A 14,080-nucleotide genomic window follows, 5' to 3' on the forward strand; every position below is an offset into this window, starting at 1 on the left:
TGATTGGGGCCAGCTTTACAATAAATCTACTATTATGCCTTCAATTAATATGGGAGGATATGTGAAAGTAAGAGTTGATTTATAAGCAGCTAAATAATGATTTTATTTGAGGTTTCCGTTTCCATTAAATTTTAGGTTTAAAGTTTGTTCTTTTATTCTTCAATGGCATGCAGTAGAAATTGTAGCTAACAGGCAAATATATATATATATATATAAAATAGGGATGTGAGATGGCTCAGAGAACCTAAGAATGAGCTTCAGCAAGGACAGGAACTCTGAACCATCCAGAATCTAGACAGCAAGAACTCATAGTCCACTTAGGGTGCTGCCACTGAGATTCAGATTTCCTGGAGAGAGAGTCCAGTTGGCCTCTGAGTTAGGTGCCCTGATTTCGACAAGGGAGGACTATGCGCCTTGACTCTAAAGTCTCCCTAAGACTACATGCAAAGCAGCTGAACAGTTCTTGAAAGTAAAATGAAATGCACTGCCAGATGAAGACAATTCAGGACAGTCAAATACAACAATGTGCTCTACAAAATTTAAACAGCTTAATCTTAGAAAAATAAGATAAATCAATCAATGGCTCAAGTCCCCCAGTGGTGTGGGCATGGAGGCCCCAACTGCCATTTCCCTCCTTACACCCCTCCCAATGGGTGACAGTTGGAAAGTAACTAGAGGCAAAGGATACGGATTATGCAAAGAAGGAAGGTAAATTAGATGGGGCTTTCCTCTACCAGTCAGTAGCAGAGACCATTTACTTCCTTAATTTAATTCTTTGTTTGCCCTGGCCTAGTCAAGGCATGCTTATAGAGAGCAGTCTTTGCTCTGCTTCAAAGATCAATGCAATTGTAATACCAAAGACAGTGGGAATGTTTCTTAACAGTTGTATAAGTTAAAAATGCTTCTGGCTGCTGGTGGCTTTACCCATAGGACAGTTAGTGTTACTAAGCAGGAATTCCCTAAGCAGTGGTCCCAGGGTGAGCCCAGCAGCTAACCAAAGTCCTCAAGGACCCCAGCTTCTCCTTTCTGTCCACTCCACTATCTCAGTGTGGCAGGAGTGTCTACCCTCATGGCTACAAGATGGCTGCTGCTGCTCCCAGCATTATGTCCTCACAGAACGGCTTTTCTAGCAGAAAGGAGAGAAAAGGGAACAAAAAAAAGTGTTTGCTTTTCTTGCCTTTCTATGGCTACCACCCTTCAGAAGACTTTCCATTATATCTTATTAGCCAGAACATGAGCATCTTACCCCCATCCCTGTAGAAGGGAAACGAGACTGCCATATGGGCTTATACCAATTTTAGTTCATCCTCTCATGCTGGGCACATTGCTACTTATGTCTACGTCCTTGGCACTTCACTCACGTTGGCCTTGTCTCTAATTCCAGCCCCAGCTGGAGTCAGGGTTGGCTTCTTGGGGAATGGGGCCTGTGAAGTTTCACAGGGCCTCTCATTTAGAAGGGCTCTGGGCTTGGTTTAATGTTCTGCTCATGCCGCTTAGAAATTAATTTTTTTTTTAACAAAGAGCCCTAACTTTTCATTGTGCCCTGGGTCCTGGAAATTATCTAGCCAGTCCTGGTTTGGGAGGACAGTCTCATGTGGGCTTTGTCTCACTTCTCCATGGTAGCCTTTTGCTTTAAGCCTCTTGCTTTCTCTCCTGGGCTTCCCAGAAGCTACAGGCACCACTGGGCACTCAATCAGCTGGTAGACATAGACAGTTTGGAAGGGAAACTTTGACCAGTCAAGATGGGAACTGATGGAGGAGTACTCCTGGGGCCCATCCTTCAAGGGCATGCCACATGATTCTTGGAAGGTCCTGGTGGTATTGAGCTCCAGTGTCCACAGCCGTGACCTTGATAACACACCCTTCTGTTGGCTTTTCTTCCTTCTCTGACCTGTCTCCCTAGTCCCTCATTTCTGGTCCCTGGATCATCTTTCAAATAAACACCCACATACTTGCCTTGCCTCAGACTTTGCCTTCAGGGGAAGCAAGTCTCAAACGCCATCCAAATGAAACCAGTGTTTCTTCCGAGAAGAAAGGTGTATGAATATTTGCCCGTTGGATAAGCCACATCAACAGTGTCAGCCATAGTGCTTGTGGGTTCATAAAGAAGCCATCCCAGATCCTGTTTCCCTGACTCCCAAAACAGAAATCTAACATACATACTGTATACCAAACACAGTGGTTATTTTCAGGTATATTTTCTTATTTCACATGTACAACAGCCACTTGCAGTAGTTACTATTATCTCCATGTTACTGATGAGAATACCAGGGATCAGAGAAGTTGAGTGACTTCCCCAAAACCAGGAAGTGGAAGACTAGGAATTTAAACACAGTTATTTGGGTATTCTTTCCACAACATCACCCTTCTGAAAGGAAATACATTTGATCTATAGGCCAACTAGCTGGCACTTTGGGGAGGTGGGTGCAGCTTGGCTTTGGGCTTTGTGGCTTCTCAAAAAATATAAGCACTTCCTAAGCAGAAAAAGCAGACTGGGCATGGTGGCTCATGCTTGTAACACCAGCATTTTGGGAGGCTAAGGCGGGCAGATGGCTTGAGTCCATAAGTTTGAGACCAGTCTGGGCAACATCATGGTGAAACCCCATCTCTACAAAAAAAAAAATTGAAAAATTAGCCAATTGTGGTGGCCATGTGCCGCTAGTCCCAGCTACTTGGGAGGCTCAGGTAGGAGGATCACTTGAGCCTGGGAAGTTGAGGCTGCAGTGAGCCATGATTGTGCCATTACACTACAGCCTGGGCAATACAGTGAGAACCTGTCTCAAAAAAAGAACATCTAGAGATCAGGTAGGTATGCCAGCAAAACTTTCCTCTCGGCTTTTGGTCCCTGTATTGCAGTTTTCACAGTAGGGTTTCAGGAGCAGAGGGTTGTGGCTAGCACAGTTCTCATGTGTTTTCTTTAAACCAGTAGCAACCTGGCAACTACATTTTCCAAGCCTGGCTAGACAGATCATTCTATTCTGCTTTGCTGCATTCAAGGGAGTATCCTGCCCCTTCAGACTCGGGGCTGTGTAGCAGACTACATTTACAGAGTGTTCTGGATAATGAGGTCAGGCAAACATTTGAAGAAGCAGATCGCAGACTACAGGGACACTACTGTTTTTTTCCAGGACAAGCTGGGAAAAGAAATTGGACGCTAGTCCAGACGACGTCGCAGTATTAGCCGAATTGGTAAAGGGTGCCAATGCCTCACTGGCAGTCGGGGACATGACTGAAGAAAGAACTGTAACATTATTCTTAAAAGGTGGTATTTTTAGCACATAGATATACTAAGGTATAACCCTCTTCTGTGGAGCAACACAGAATGGAAATTTGCTCGGTATCAAATTGCTACCACATGATGAAGAATTAAAGTGAGTTAAAAATCTATAAATTATATATATAACTTTAGAGAATTTTCCAGTAAGTGCCCTCAGATTTATTTTTATTTTCTTTTTTAGAGAGAAAGTCTTAGGTCTGTCACCCGCAGTGGAGTACAAGGGTGTGATCATGGCTCACTGCAGCCTCCAACTCCTGGGCTGAAGTGATTCTTCCACCTCAGCCTTCTGAGTAGCTGGGACTACAGGCATATGCCACCACACCCAGCTATTCTTTATTTTAATCATGTACACAAATTACCTTAGTATTCTTTTTTTCAGATAGAGTCTCACTCCTGTTTCTCAGGGTTGGAGTGCAGTGGTGCAATCCCGGCTCACTGCAGCCTCAACTTCCTGGGCTCAGGTGATTTTCCCACCTGAGCCTCCTAAGTAGCTGAGACTACAGGCACGTGCCACCATGCGTGGCTAACTTTCTGTATTTTTTGCAGACATAGGGTTTCACCCTGTTTCCCAGGCTGGTCTCAAACTCATGGACTCACTTCCTATCTGCTTGCCTTGGCCTCCCAAAGTGCTAAGATTACAGGCATGAGCTACCAGGCCTGAACTCCATGCCTCGTGTCAGTATATATATATATATATATATATATATATTTTTTTTTTTAGCAGGGTCTCACTCTGTTGCTCAAGCTGGAGGGCAGTGGTTTGGTCATGCTCACTGTAGCCTTGACCTCCTGGGCTCAAGCAATCCTTTTGGCTCAACCTCCTGAGTAGCTGGGACTATAAGGAGTGCACCACCAAATCCAGCTAATTTCTTATTTTTTGTAGAGGGGATATCTTGCTATGTTGCCCAGGCTGCTGTTGAATTCCTGGGCTCAAATGATCCTCCTGCCTCAGCCTCCCAAAGTGCTGGGATTACAGGCATGACGCACCACGCCTGGCCTCAGTATTCTTAATATAAGATAAAATCTGGGATATCCCCACCTCTTGCTGATTTTCTTACATTAATTTCCCTAAGTTTCTTCCCTGACTGTCATGTAAAGATACCTAACAAGAAATGGTCTGAAACTTTTGTTGGTTGCATCCCCCATCAATGAAAACTTTGCACATAGATCTCCAATATATATTTATATATTTACAAATTATCTGTCTGTACTACTATATTAATATTTATGCACAATAAAAAGCCAGAATTAAATTTCAAAGGATAAGATAAAGATTAAACTATCTTAAAATGACATAAAAACTAGTAAGAGTGCAAAAGCAACTGCTTTTGCTAAAGAGTAATTTGATTAAATGCACTTCTCTCTTTAAAAAAAAACCATGATTCATCACTGTGATACATTGATACTGGTCCAAAATTTTGGACCAGTTCATTTTATTGCAATATTCTTAAAACATTTTTTAATTGAGGCTTCATTTCAGGGTCTTTTTTAGCATATTCACAAAGTTATGTAAACACCACACTATAATTTTATAATATTTTCATCACCCCAAAAAGAAACCCATATTCATTAACAGTCACTGTTATTCCTCTCTACCCCTACCCCCTGGCAACTACGTATCTATTTTCTGTATCTGTGGGTTTGCCTATGGTGGACATTTCTCATAAATCATGCAATATGTGGCTTTTTGTGCCTGGCTTCCTTCATGTAACAATGTTTTTGAGATTCATCCATGTTGTGGCATATATCAGTACTTTATTTCTTTTTATGGTCAACTACTATTCCACTGTGTGGACAGACCACAAGTTCCTTATCTCTTCATTAGTTAATGGACATTTAGGTTGTTTCTACTTTTTAGCTATTGTGAATAATGCTGCTGTGAACACTTATGTACAATTATTGTGTGGACATTTGTTTTGATTTCTCTTGAGTATATACCTAGGAAGGGAATTGCTGGGTCATATGCTAACTCTATGTTTAGCCATTTAAGGAACTGCCAGACTGTTTTAGAAAGTGGCTGCACCATTTTACAATTCCAACAGCAATAGATGAGGGTTCTAATTTCTCCATATCCTTGCCATTACTTGTCATTGTCTGTCTGTTTGATTATAGATATCTTAGTGGATATGAGTGGTATCTCATTGTGGCTTGATTTATATTTCCCTAATTACTTATGATGTTGGACATCTTTTCACAGGCTTATTGAACATTCATGTATCTTCTTGGAGAAATATCTATTCAAATTCTTTGTCTATTTTTAAATTGTTATTTGTCTTTAAATTATTGAGTAGTATGAGTTCTTTATGTATTCTGGCTTCTAGACCTTATCAGATATATGATTTATAAACATTTTTCCCATTCTGTGGGTTATTTTCACTTTCTTGATAGTGACCTTTGAAGCACAAAAGTTTTCATTTTGATGAAGTCCAATATACCTATTTTTCTTTGGTTGCTTGTGCTACTGGTATCATATCTAAAAAAACAGTGCCTAATTCAAAGTCAGGAAGATTCATATCTATACTTTCTCTTAAGAGTTTTATAGCTTTAGCTCTTACATTTAGATCCCTATCTATTTTGAGTTAATTTTTGTAATGTGGTATGTAGCAGGGGTTCAAATTTATTATGAGTGTGGATTGCCAGTTGTCCTGGCACATTTGTTGAAAATACTATTCTTTCCCCATTGAATTTTTATAATACCCTTGCCAAAAATCAACTGACAATAAATACACGTGTTTCTTTTTGGACTTTCACTTTCATTCCATGGGTCTATAGGTCCTAATACTTGGTTTTTAATGTATGTCACAGCTGAAAAGATAACTTAAAAGATTCATAGATCATATACAAAAATGAATCATTGTCTATCTTTACTAATCATTTTCTGTCACTTCCATCAATTCTGGAAATGTTTGGCTGGAGATCTGGCTGGCGAGTTTCCACCTTCTATGTTGTCTGAGTTGTTCTTGCAAACCAATAGTATAAGGTATTGCATTTTTTTCTTTGTAACATATATACTAAACCCGGTAAAGCTTTTCCTTTAGAAGATTTTTGAAACAAGTTAGCAAATTCTTTTTTTTTTTCCCCCAGTTTTCAAAAGTGCAACTATGAGAGTTTTTAAAAGGTGTTACATGTTTGTAATTTTAACAAAAAAGACTACAGGACAATGAAAACATTTCCAAACATTAATTTACAAAATAATCTTTTCATAGCTCAAGTTTGTGTGTTGTTTAAAGAGGACTTAATTTTTTCTGAAAAGCTTGTACTAGGAAGTATTAGAAGTGTCAGCTCGCCGGGCGGGGTGGCTCACGCCTGTAATTCCAGCACTTTGCGAGGCCGAGATGGGCGGATCACGAGGTCAGGAGATCCAGACCATCCTGGCTAATACGGTGAAACCCCATCTCTACTAAAAATACAAAAAATTAGCCGGGCGTGTTGTCGGGCGCCTGTAGTCCCCGCTACTTGGGAGGCTGAGGCAGGAGAATGGCGTGAACCCGGGAGGCGAAGCTTGCAGTGAGCCGAGATTGAGCCACTGCACTCTAGCCTGGGTGACAGAGCGAGACTCCGTCTCAAAAAAAAGAAGTGTCAGCTCTTCAGTTTTATTGGTTGTGATGGCTAATACTGAGTGTCAACTTGATTGGATTGAAGGATGCAAAGTGTTGATTCTAGGTGTGTCTGTGAGGGTGTTGCCAAAGGACATTAACATCTGAGTCAGTGGGCTGGGGAAGGCAGACCCAACCTTAATTTGGGTGGGCATCATCTAATCAGCTGCCAGGGCAGCTAGAATATAAGGCAGGCAGAAAAACATGAAAAGACTAGACTGGCCTACCTTCCCAGCCTACATCTTTCTTTTGTGTTGGATGCTACCTGCCCTTGAACACTGGACTCCAAGTTCTTCAGTTTTGGGACTTGGACTGGCTTTGCTTGCTCCTCAGCTTGCAGATGTCTTATTGTGGGACCTTGTGATCATGTGAGTTAATACTTAATAAACTCCCCTTTATCATTTTGGTGGTTATTCTTGGAATTTAACATATAGACTTAAAGTATAAATTTGGTGAATACATTTCACTTTTTAAAAGTACTTTGCCTGGTGCAGTGGTTCACACCTGTAATCCCAGCACTTTGAGAGGATCAGCTAGGAGGATGGCTTGAGCCCAGGAGTTTGAGAACAGCCTGGGCAACACGACAACACCAATCTTTACAAAATGTTTAAAAATTCACTGGGTGTGGTGGCAGGCAACTGTAGTCACAGCTACTCTGGAGGCTGAACTGAGAGAATCACTGGAGCCCAGGAATTCAAGGCTACAGTGAGCCATGATCATGACACTGCACTCTAGCCTGGGGAACAGAGCAAGACTCTGACTCAAACAAACAAAAAACAAACAAACAAAAAAAACCTTAGAATGCCTGACTCTCAAAACAGCCACCTCTAGGGTATATACTATTATTGTCCAGCCTTTTATTTCTTTCTTACTCTTTTTACCCCTAAAATGAAACATTAATTTATATTTACCATGGGCAATGTTTATGTTATGAACATTTTTCCCATCTACATATATTACTGCTGCTTGGGATTTATTCGGCCTTCTAAACCTGAATCATTCATTAGTCCTGACAAACTTTCAGCCTTTATCTCTTTGAATATTTTGTGTCACTCATTCTCTCCTTTATTTCACTCTAGAAATCTGATAAAACATAAATTGGCCCTTCTCCTGCTACCCTCCCCATCTCACTGTTTTTTTTCTGTGTTATCTCATTGTCTCTCTGGGCTGCGTTCTGAGTACTTTTTTCAGATTAGTCTTCTAGCTCACCATTTCTTCACCAGGGAGAGACTGAATGTACAAAGGCCAATGGCCAGACCACACAAAATAGGATTCTGATCCACACGAGAAGCCCCAGCAGCCAAACCACAATCTCTGTAGCAATCTGTCCAGAACAGGCAAGACTTAATCAGTGATGGCCAACTTTACTTTTTTATTTTTTATTTTTTTGTGTTTTGTTTTTTAAGACGGTCTTGCTATGTTGCCCGACCTGGTCATGAACTCCTGGGTTCAAGCAATCCTCTTGCCTCAGACTCCCAAAGTGCTGGGATAACAGGTTTGAGCTACCATGATCAGACCCAATTTTCCTATTTTTTTGCTCTGGTCTCCAACTGATTAACCAGAGAAGTCCAGACATCCGCTCCAAACCCATCACATGAAATGCTCACTTCTAGTTAGCCCACCTCTAACTGCCCCAACACCAAAGCCTCCAATCAGAGGACACCCGCAGCCTTCACTTTTTGTCAGTGGAAAGCATTCCCACTCCCCTGCCTGCCTTAGACTTTGCTTACCAAACTCAAGTAGTGGTGGCTGACTCCTTTGTTCTATAGCGAGCTCCAAATACCTGGGCTCTGTTTTCATTTGGGTGGTCTCTGTTTCAGTACCAATTAGGGCTATTCTGATCTTTGATGCTTCTATTCCTTTTTTTAGGTCAACCTCTGTATTTTTCAGTTTTAGAAGTTCCATTTGATTCTTTTTCGAAACTGATCATTTGTATAACTTCTTATTCTTTTGTCATCACTTCTATTTCTGCTAGGATATTAAATGTTTTATCCAGTGATTCTAATACGTGAAGTCCTTATGGGGGTGTTTTTATCATTTGTTCTTTCTACTGTCTCTCATTTATGGTAGCTGATTTTCTTGAATGTTTCTTGATTATTTTTTTCAAAGTTGTGAGCCCAGATATGTTGTGCTTTCTCTGGGAGTTGCCTGAGGCCTCGTCTGAGGGCACATTGTCTAGGAAATATTTGCATTTGTTTCTCCCGGGCACCTGCGGGCATAAAAGTTGCTTTAGATGAAGTTTTCCTTGGGAGTTTTTTAATCTACATTGTAAAATGTGCATCTACCACTCTTTGGAGGACAGCACATGCAAGTGAGATCTTATGTCATTGTCTTGGTACAAATTTAAGAATCAAGTGTATTAATAATAACGATGGGTTCCAACTGAGTATGTAGATAGACATTGACTATTAGATCCTTCTGAATTCCTAAATAAGAACTTTTAAAAAATACCCTTAATATAAAATAAGTGATTCAAATATAAGAAAAATACGTTTTAACAAACACTATAGTACTTATTGTCCTTCTTTTGCATACAGAAAGCTAATCTAAGTGACTCCATATTCTTCCCTAATTGTAAAACTACTTTTAAAAAAGACATGGATTGCAGAAATCATGAGTTGAGCTCCAAGAATTTGGACTGTGTGCTGCCTCTTCCAAAACAATTCTTTAAACTGTATCACAGATTTCCTGTGTTATCTCAGAATCCATAGTTCTTATAGAAATGCCAGTGACTAGGTCTAAATGGTGTCTGTATTGACCTTGCCTTTTTCTTATTCTTGCCAGTATTCTGTATTTCAGAGCTCCAGTTCATTCATGACCCTAGTTATTACGCTGGATTAGGCTTCCCAGGAATATAAAAATGAGTAAGGCAGGAACTCACAATCTAGTGAAGAGTAAATAAACAACCGTGAAGGAAAACAGACTTTAACAAGTATTATAGCCCAGCAACAAAGTTGTATGAAGCATAAAGAGAGGAGGAATCATTTAAACTGAGGGTCCCGGAAAGGATCATTTCTCACCCAGCTAGAAAGCTCAGAAGAATTTGACAGGGGCTGGCTTTCCTGACAAAGATGTGGTTTCTTTATTGATCAGGCCTACAAAAGAGTTCTGCCTGTGAGCTGAGAAGTAGTTAGGAATTCAAGAGGCTTTTCACCCACTGGGTGAGTGGGACCTGAGCCAGGAAACATTTGGCTGGATTCAATTGGCTAAATAGAAGTTTCCAGAACTGAGAAAATTCCAAGATTTACTCTTAAGCTCTATTCCTATTGTTTCACAGGACATGAAATTACATACCTGCCCATGTTTTGTACACAGATAACCGTTCCTTCCTGTAGTATAATATCACTCAACGCAATGGATCTAACCATGTGTTACCACTGGGGCCTCCTGCTGAGGAGAGCAAGAAGTCAGCAAAACAGAGAATAAAGGGCATTGTTACTTCCTGCCCCTTCCCTTTCCTCTCCCTACAAGTCTTGGCTGGCAGCAATAGGAGAGACAGTAGAAGCAGATACCTGAGCGTGGCATTTGGCATGAGATTACTGTGCTTTTGAGGAGAGAAGGATAGTAACTAAGAAATATCTACATTTGAATTTTAATACAGGAGAGTCTGAGAAGAAGGGCTTTTTTGGAAGGAGGGTTGCCAGGCCTGGAACAAGCACATGCCTAGAGGAAAATCCCATACTACATACAAGGAGGAAGCCCAGGCCAGCAGGTAAGCGCAGGAGAAGGCAAATGGACAAAACTTGAGTCCCTGAAAAATTGAAGATAGAAAGAATGAGCCCCCTGAGTTCTAAATGGGCTGATACATCAGCTGATGTCCCTGAAGCAGGAATAGAGGTATGGGTGGGACAACAACAGGAGAGAGTGAGTGGGGAACTACATAGGGTGCCTTGCCTGAAAATGGGGACAAGGCCATGATGTGATCATAGGCAATAAGCCAGGAGCCCAGTTACCAAGACAGGCATGAATGGCTGGAGATGGTGGGACTGGCTTAGGGCTCTTGAATATCCTGTAGTCACTAACTTTTTTTTCATTCTTGCTTGCTTGCTTTTTTTTTTTTTTTTTTTTTTGGAGACAGAGTCTTGCTGTGTCACACAGGCTAGAGTACACTGGTTATCACAGCTCACTGCAACCTGGACCTCCTGGGCTCAAGTGATACTCCCACCTCAGCCTCCTGAGTAACTGGGACTACAGGCACATATCAGCATACCCAGCCAATTTTTAAATTTTTTGTAGAGACGAGGTCTTCCTATGTTGCTTAGGCTGGTCTTGATCTTCTGGGCTCAAGTGATTCTCTTGCTTTGGCCTCCCAAAGTGCTGGGATTACAGGCATGAGCCACCATGCCCGGCCTGTAGTCATGATTTTGGGTAAAGCTGAACCCCCAGTAGCAGACTTACTTAGAGGGACAAAGTAGCCCAAGGAGAAGATCCCAGGATAAGAGCAAGGGCTTTGGCATTCGACCTGGCTGTGAATTCTGTGCCACTTGCTGGATTGACAATGATAGGAGTGTTGTCTTCCCTCTGAGAACATAAGGCCCATGAAACTCAATATATAGCCCTGACAGTTTTACCTGCAGTGAATTTTGAAACACATTTCTTGGGGTGTTTTAAGCTGACCTTGCCATCAAGCTAGTGCTCTCATCTGGTCCTTATGTTCCCAAAGAGAGAAGGCAACACTCCCATCATTGTCACATGAGGGAACATAGTTTTATCATCTGTAAAATGAGGATGATTATACTTACTTCATAAAGCTCTTCTAAGAATTACATGAAATAATGTTTTTGAAGCATTTAGTGCATTGCCTGTACACAGCAGGCACTCAGTTGTAATTACTATCATCAATATTACAAGGAAAGGCTGACAAAGAATCAAAGTGTGCTGAAAGTGTTCTACACTCTAAAGGATAACCCCTCTAGGTTGTATGATTCGGAATGTATGGGAGCAATTTTAACAACTTTGTAATTTGTAGATAATTGATAACAATGTAATATAATTCCTGTCTGTAGACACAGATTCTGTCTTGTCTGGTAGAGGTTCAATTGACTTCTCTTTATTTTATTTTTTTCTTTCCAACTTTTATTTTCGGTTCGGTGGGTACATGTGCAGGTTTGTGACATAGGTAAATTTTGTGTCAACGGGTTTGGTGTGATTATTTCATCACCCAGGTAATAAGCATAGTACCTGATAGGTAGTTTTTCAATCTTCTCCTTCCTCTCACCCAACTTTTCTTTCTTACTCCTGGAAAAAGCCGTTTTGCCTCAACTTGCGCACTCATTTCAACATTTCTCATCTATAAGCAAGGACACCTCTGGAAGACGCAAGGCCTGGTAAATATTTTTGATATAAACTATTTGATGTACACTTTAAATGGATGAATTGTATGCTATCTGAATTATACTTCAGTGAGGCTGTTAAAAACACTTGTGGTTTTTTTGTTTGTCTTTTTAGTTCCCCAGTACTATTCTAGCAATCCTGGGTCCCTTCTGGCATGACTTCATGAAAGAACCCAGGCAGGAGCAATTCAGGCCACCTCTCTGAAATTGGGCCCAGGCCACAGGCCCCTAGGAAAGCTTCATAGGTTAAGCCCCAGAGCTCCTGGGGCATCTGGTTGACCTCACACATATGGGGCAGAGGGCTGGAGAGCCAGAGATCATTCCACAGAGGAGAAAATGGAGATGTGGCCAAGTGGGTCCCGGTCTGAATTGCAGACTGACAGGGACTTAGAAAATTTCAAGGATCAGTTGGATAAATTGAATATGTTAGGGAAAAAAAAGAAAAAAAGAATTTCAAGAAAGGTGCTTCAAAGTGGAGGGGGTGGGGAGGCTGGAGAGGAAAGGCTGGGACAGTGGCCCCTCATGCCCTGCTGTAAGGGCAGGTATCACTACAAATAAAATGTTTCTTCAAAAATCCTTGCCATTAGTGTTCATTGAACTCTAATAATGTCATTCCTCTCCTGTGGAATGTCTATAAATGCACACTTATTGAACTGGGAAACTGAGTACAGCAGAAATAGAAAGAGATTTTAAATCTAGGCTATAAAATCTTCATATACCCTGATCCTTTGAGTTGTTAACCTCTAGACAACTTTCGCACTCACATTTGTATGCTCTAAGGCCTTCCACATCTGCAAATCCTTTTTCTAGGGTCTTTTACACATGAAACAGATCAAATTTCCCTAGAAGATATGCTTCCTTGCTTGCTTTATTTCCATTTCCAGGAAGTGTTTTACATCTGCATTGCAAAATAGCAGCCGCTGCTTCTTCTCACCTACCAGCCCAGCGTGAATGTGATTTTCCTGACAAACAGTTTGGATTGCTTCCAACCCCTCAGGCTCTGTTCACCAGACTCTATGGAAATTATTTCCCTTTCCAGACAAGGTTGTCTTCTCCAGTACAAAATGGATTTTGTACTCTTTTGCCCTAACTCAAACTGCCTTTCCCTAACGATTCTCTAGAGGTCCAATTCTTCCAGTGAAGAAACTGAGTAAATCATTTCTGACCTGCCACACTCATCTGCTCCCCACATTCACACTGGGTTGCCGGCCTCCATACCTTTGATAATGTCCTTGCCTGCACCAGAGTTACCCTCTTCAGCACTCTCCTTCCCCCGTATCACCACCACAGATGAGAGCACCAGCTTGATGGCAAGGTCAGCTTAAAACACTCCAAGAAATGTGTTTCAAAACTCACTGCAGGTAAAAGTGTCAGGGCCACATACTGAGTTTCATGGGCCTTATGTACTTTGCCTTTGTGGGCCCCTGCACTCCATCATCCATTTTCATGGGCTCTAAATGTTTTATTTTCTTCTGGTGTGAAGAAAAAAAAAACATTTTCTTTAACCCTAAGTTCACTTTTTTTCTTTTGATTTTAAAAGAAATTAAAACATTTTGGTGGGCCCCTAAAAGTATTGTGGAGTTCTAGGCCAGGGGTCCTCAACCCCCAGGCCCAGTATCAGCCTATTAGGAACTGGGCCACACAGCAAGAGGTGAGCAGTGGGTGAGTGAGCGAAGCTTCATCTGTATTTACAGCTGCTCCCCATCGCTCGCATTACCACCTGAGCTCTACCTCCTGTCAGATCAGGGGTGGCATTAGATTCTCATAGGAGCACAAACCCTATTGTGAACTGCACATGTGAGGGATCTATGTTGTGTGCTCCTTAAGAGAATCTGATGCCTGATGATCTGTCACTATCTCCCATCACCTCCAGA

At 41.4% G+C, this 14,080-nt stretch overlaps 1 long non-coding RNA gene across 1 annotated transcript; it reads left to right on the top strand.

Annotated features, from left to right (window-relative positions):
* The first annotated feature begins 622 nt into the window (after nucleotides 1-622).
* LOC105378412 (uncharacterized) lies at nucleotides 623-12,912 on the top strand. The gene is made up of 3 exons (XR_946171.2): nucleotides 623-708; nucleotides 10,475-10,585; nucleotides 12,122-12,912. It is a non-coding gene; the product is annotated as an uncharacterized LOC105378412 (long non-coding RNA).
* Nucleotides 12,913-14,080: the final 1,168 nt, after the last annotated feature.

This window comes from Homo sapiens, chromosome 10, assembly GCF_000001405.40.
Source record: "Homo sapiens chromosome 10, GRCh38.p14 Primary Assembly".
NCBI classification, from domain to species: Eukaryota; Metazoa; Chordata; class Mammalia; order Primates; family Hominidae; genus Homo; species Homo sapiens.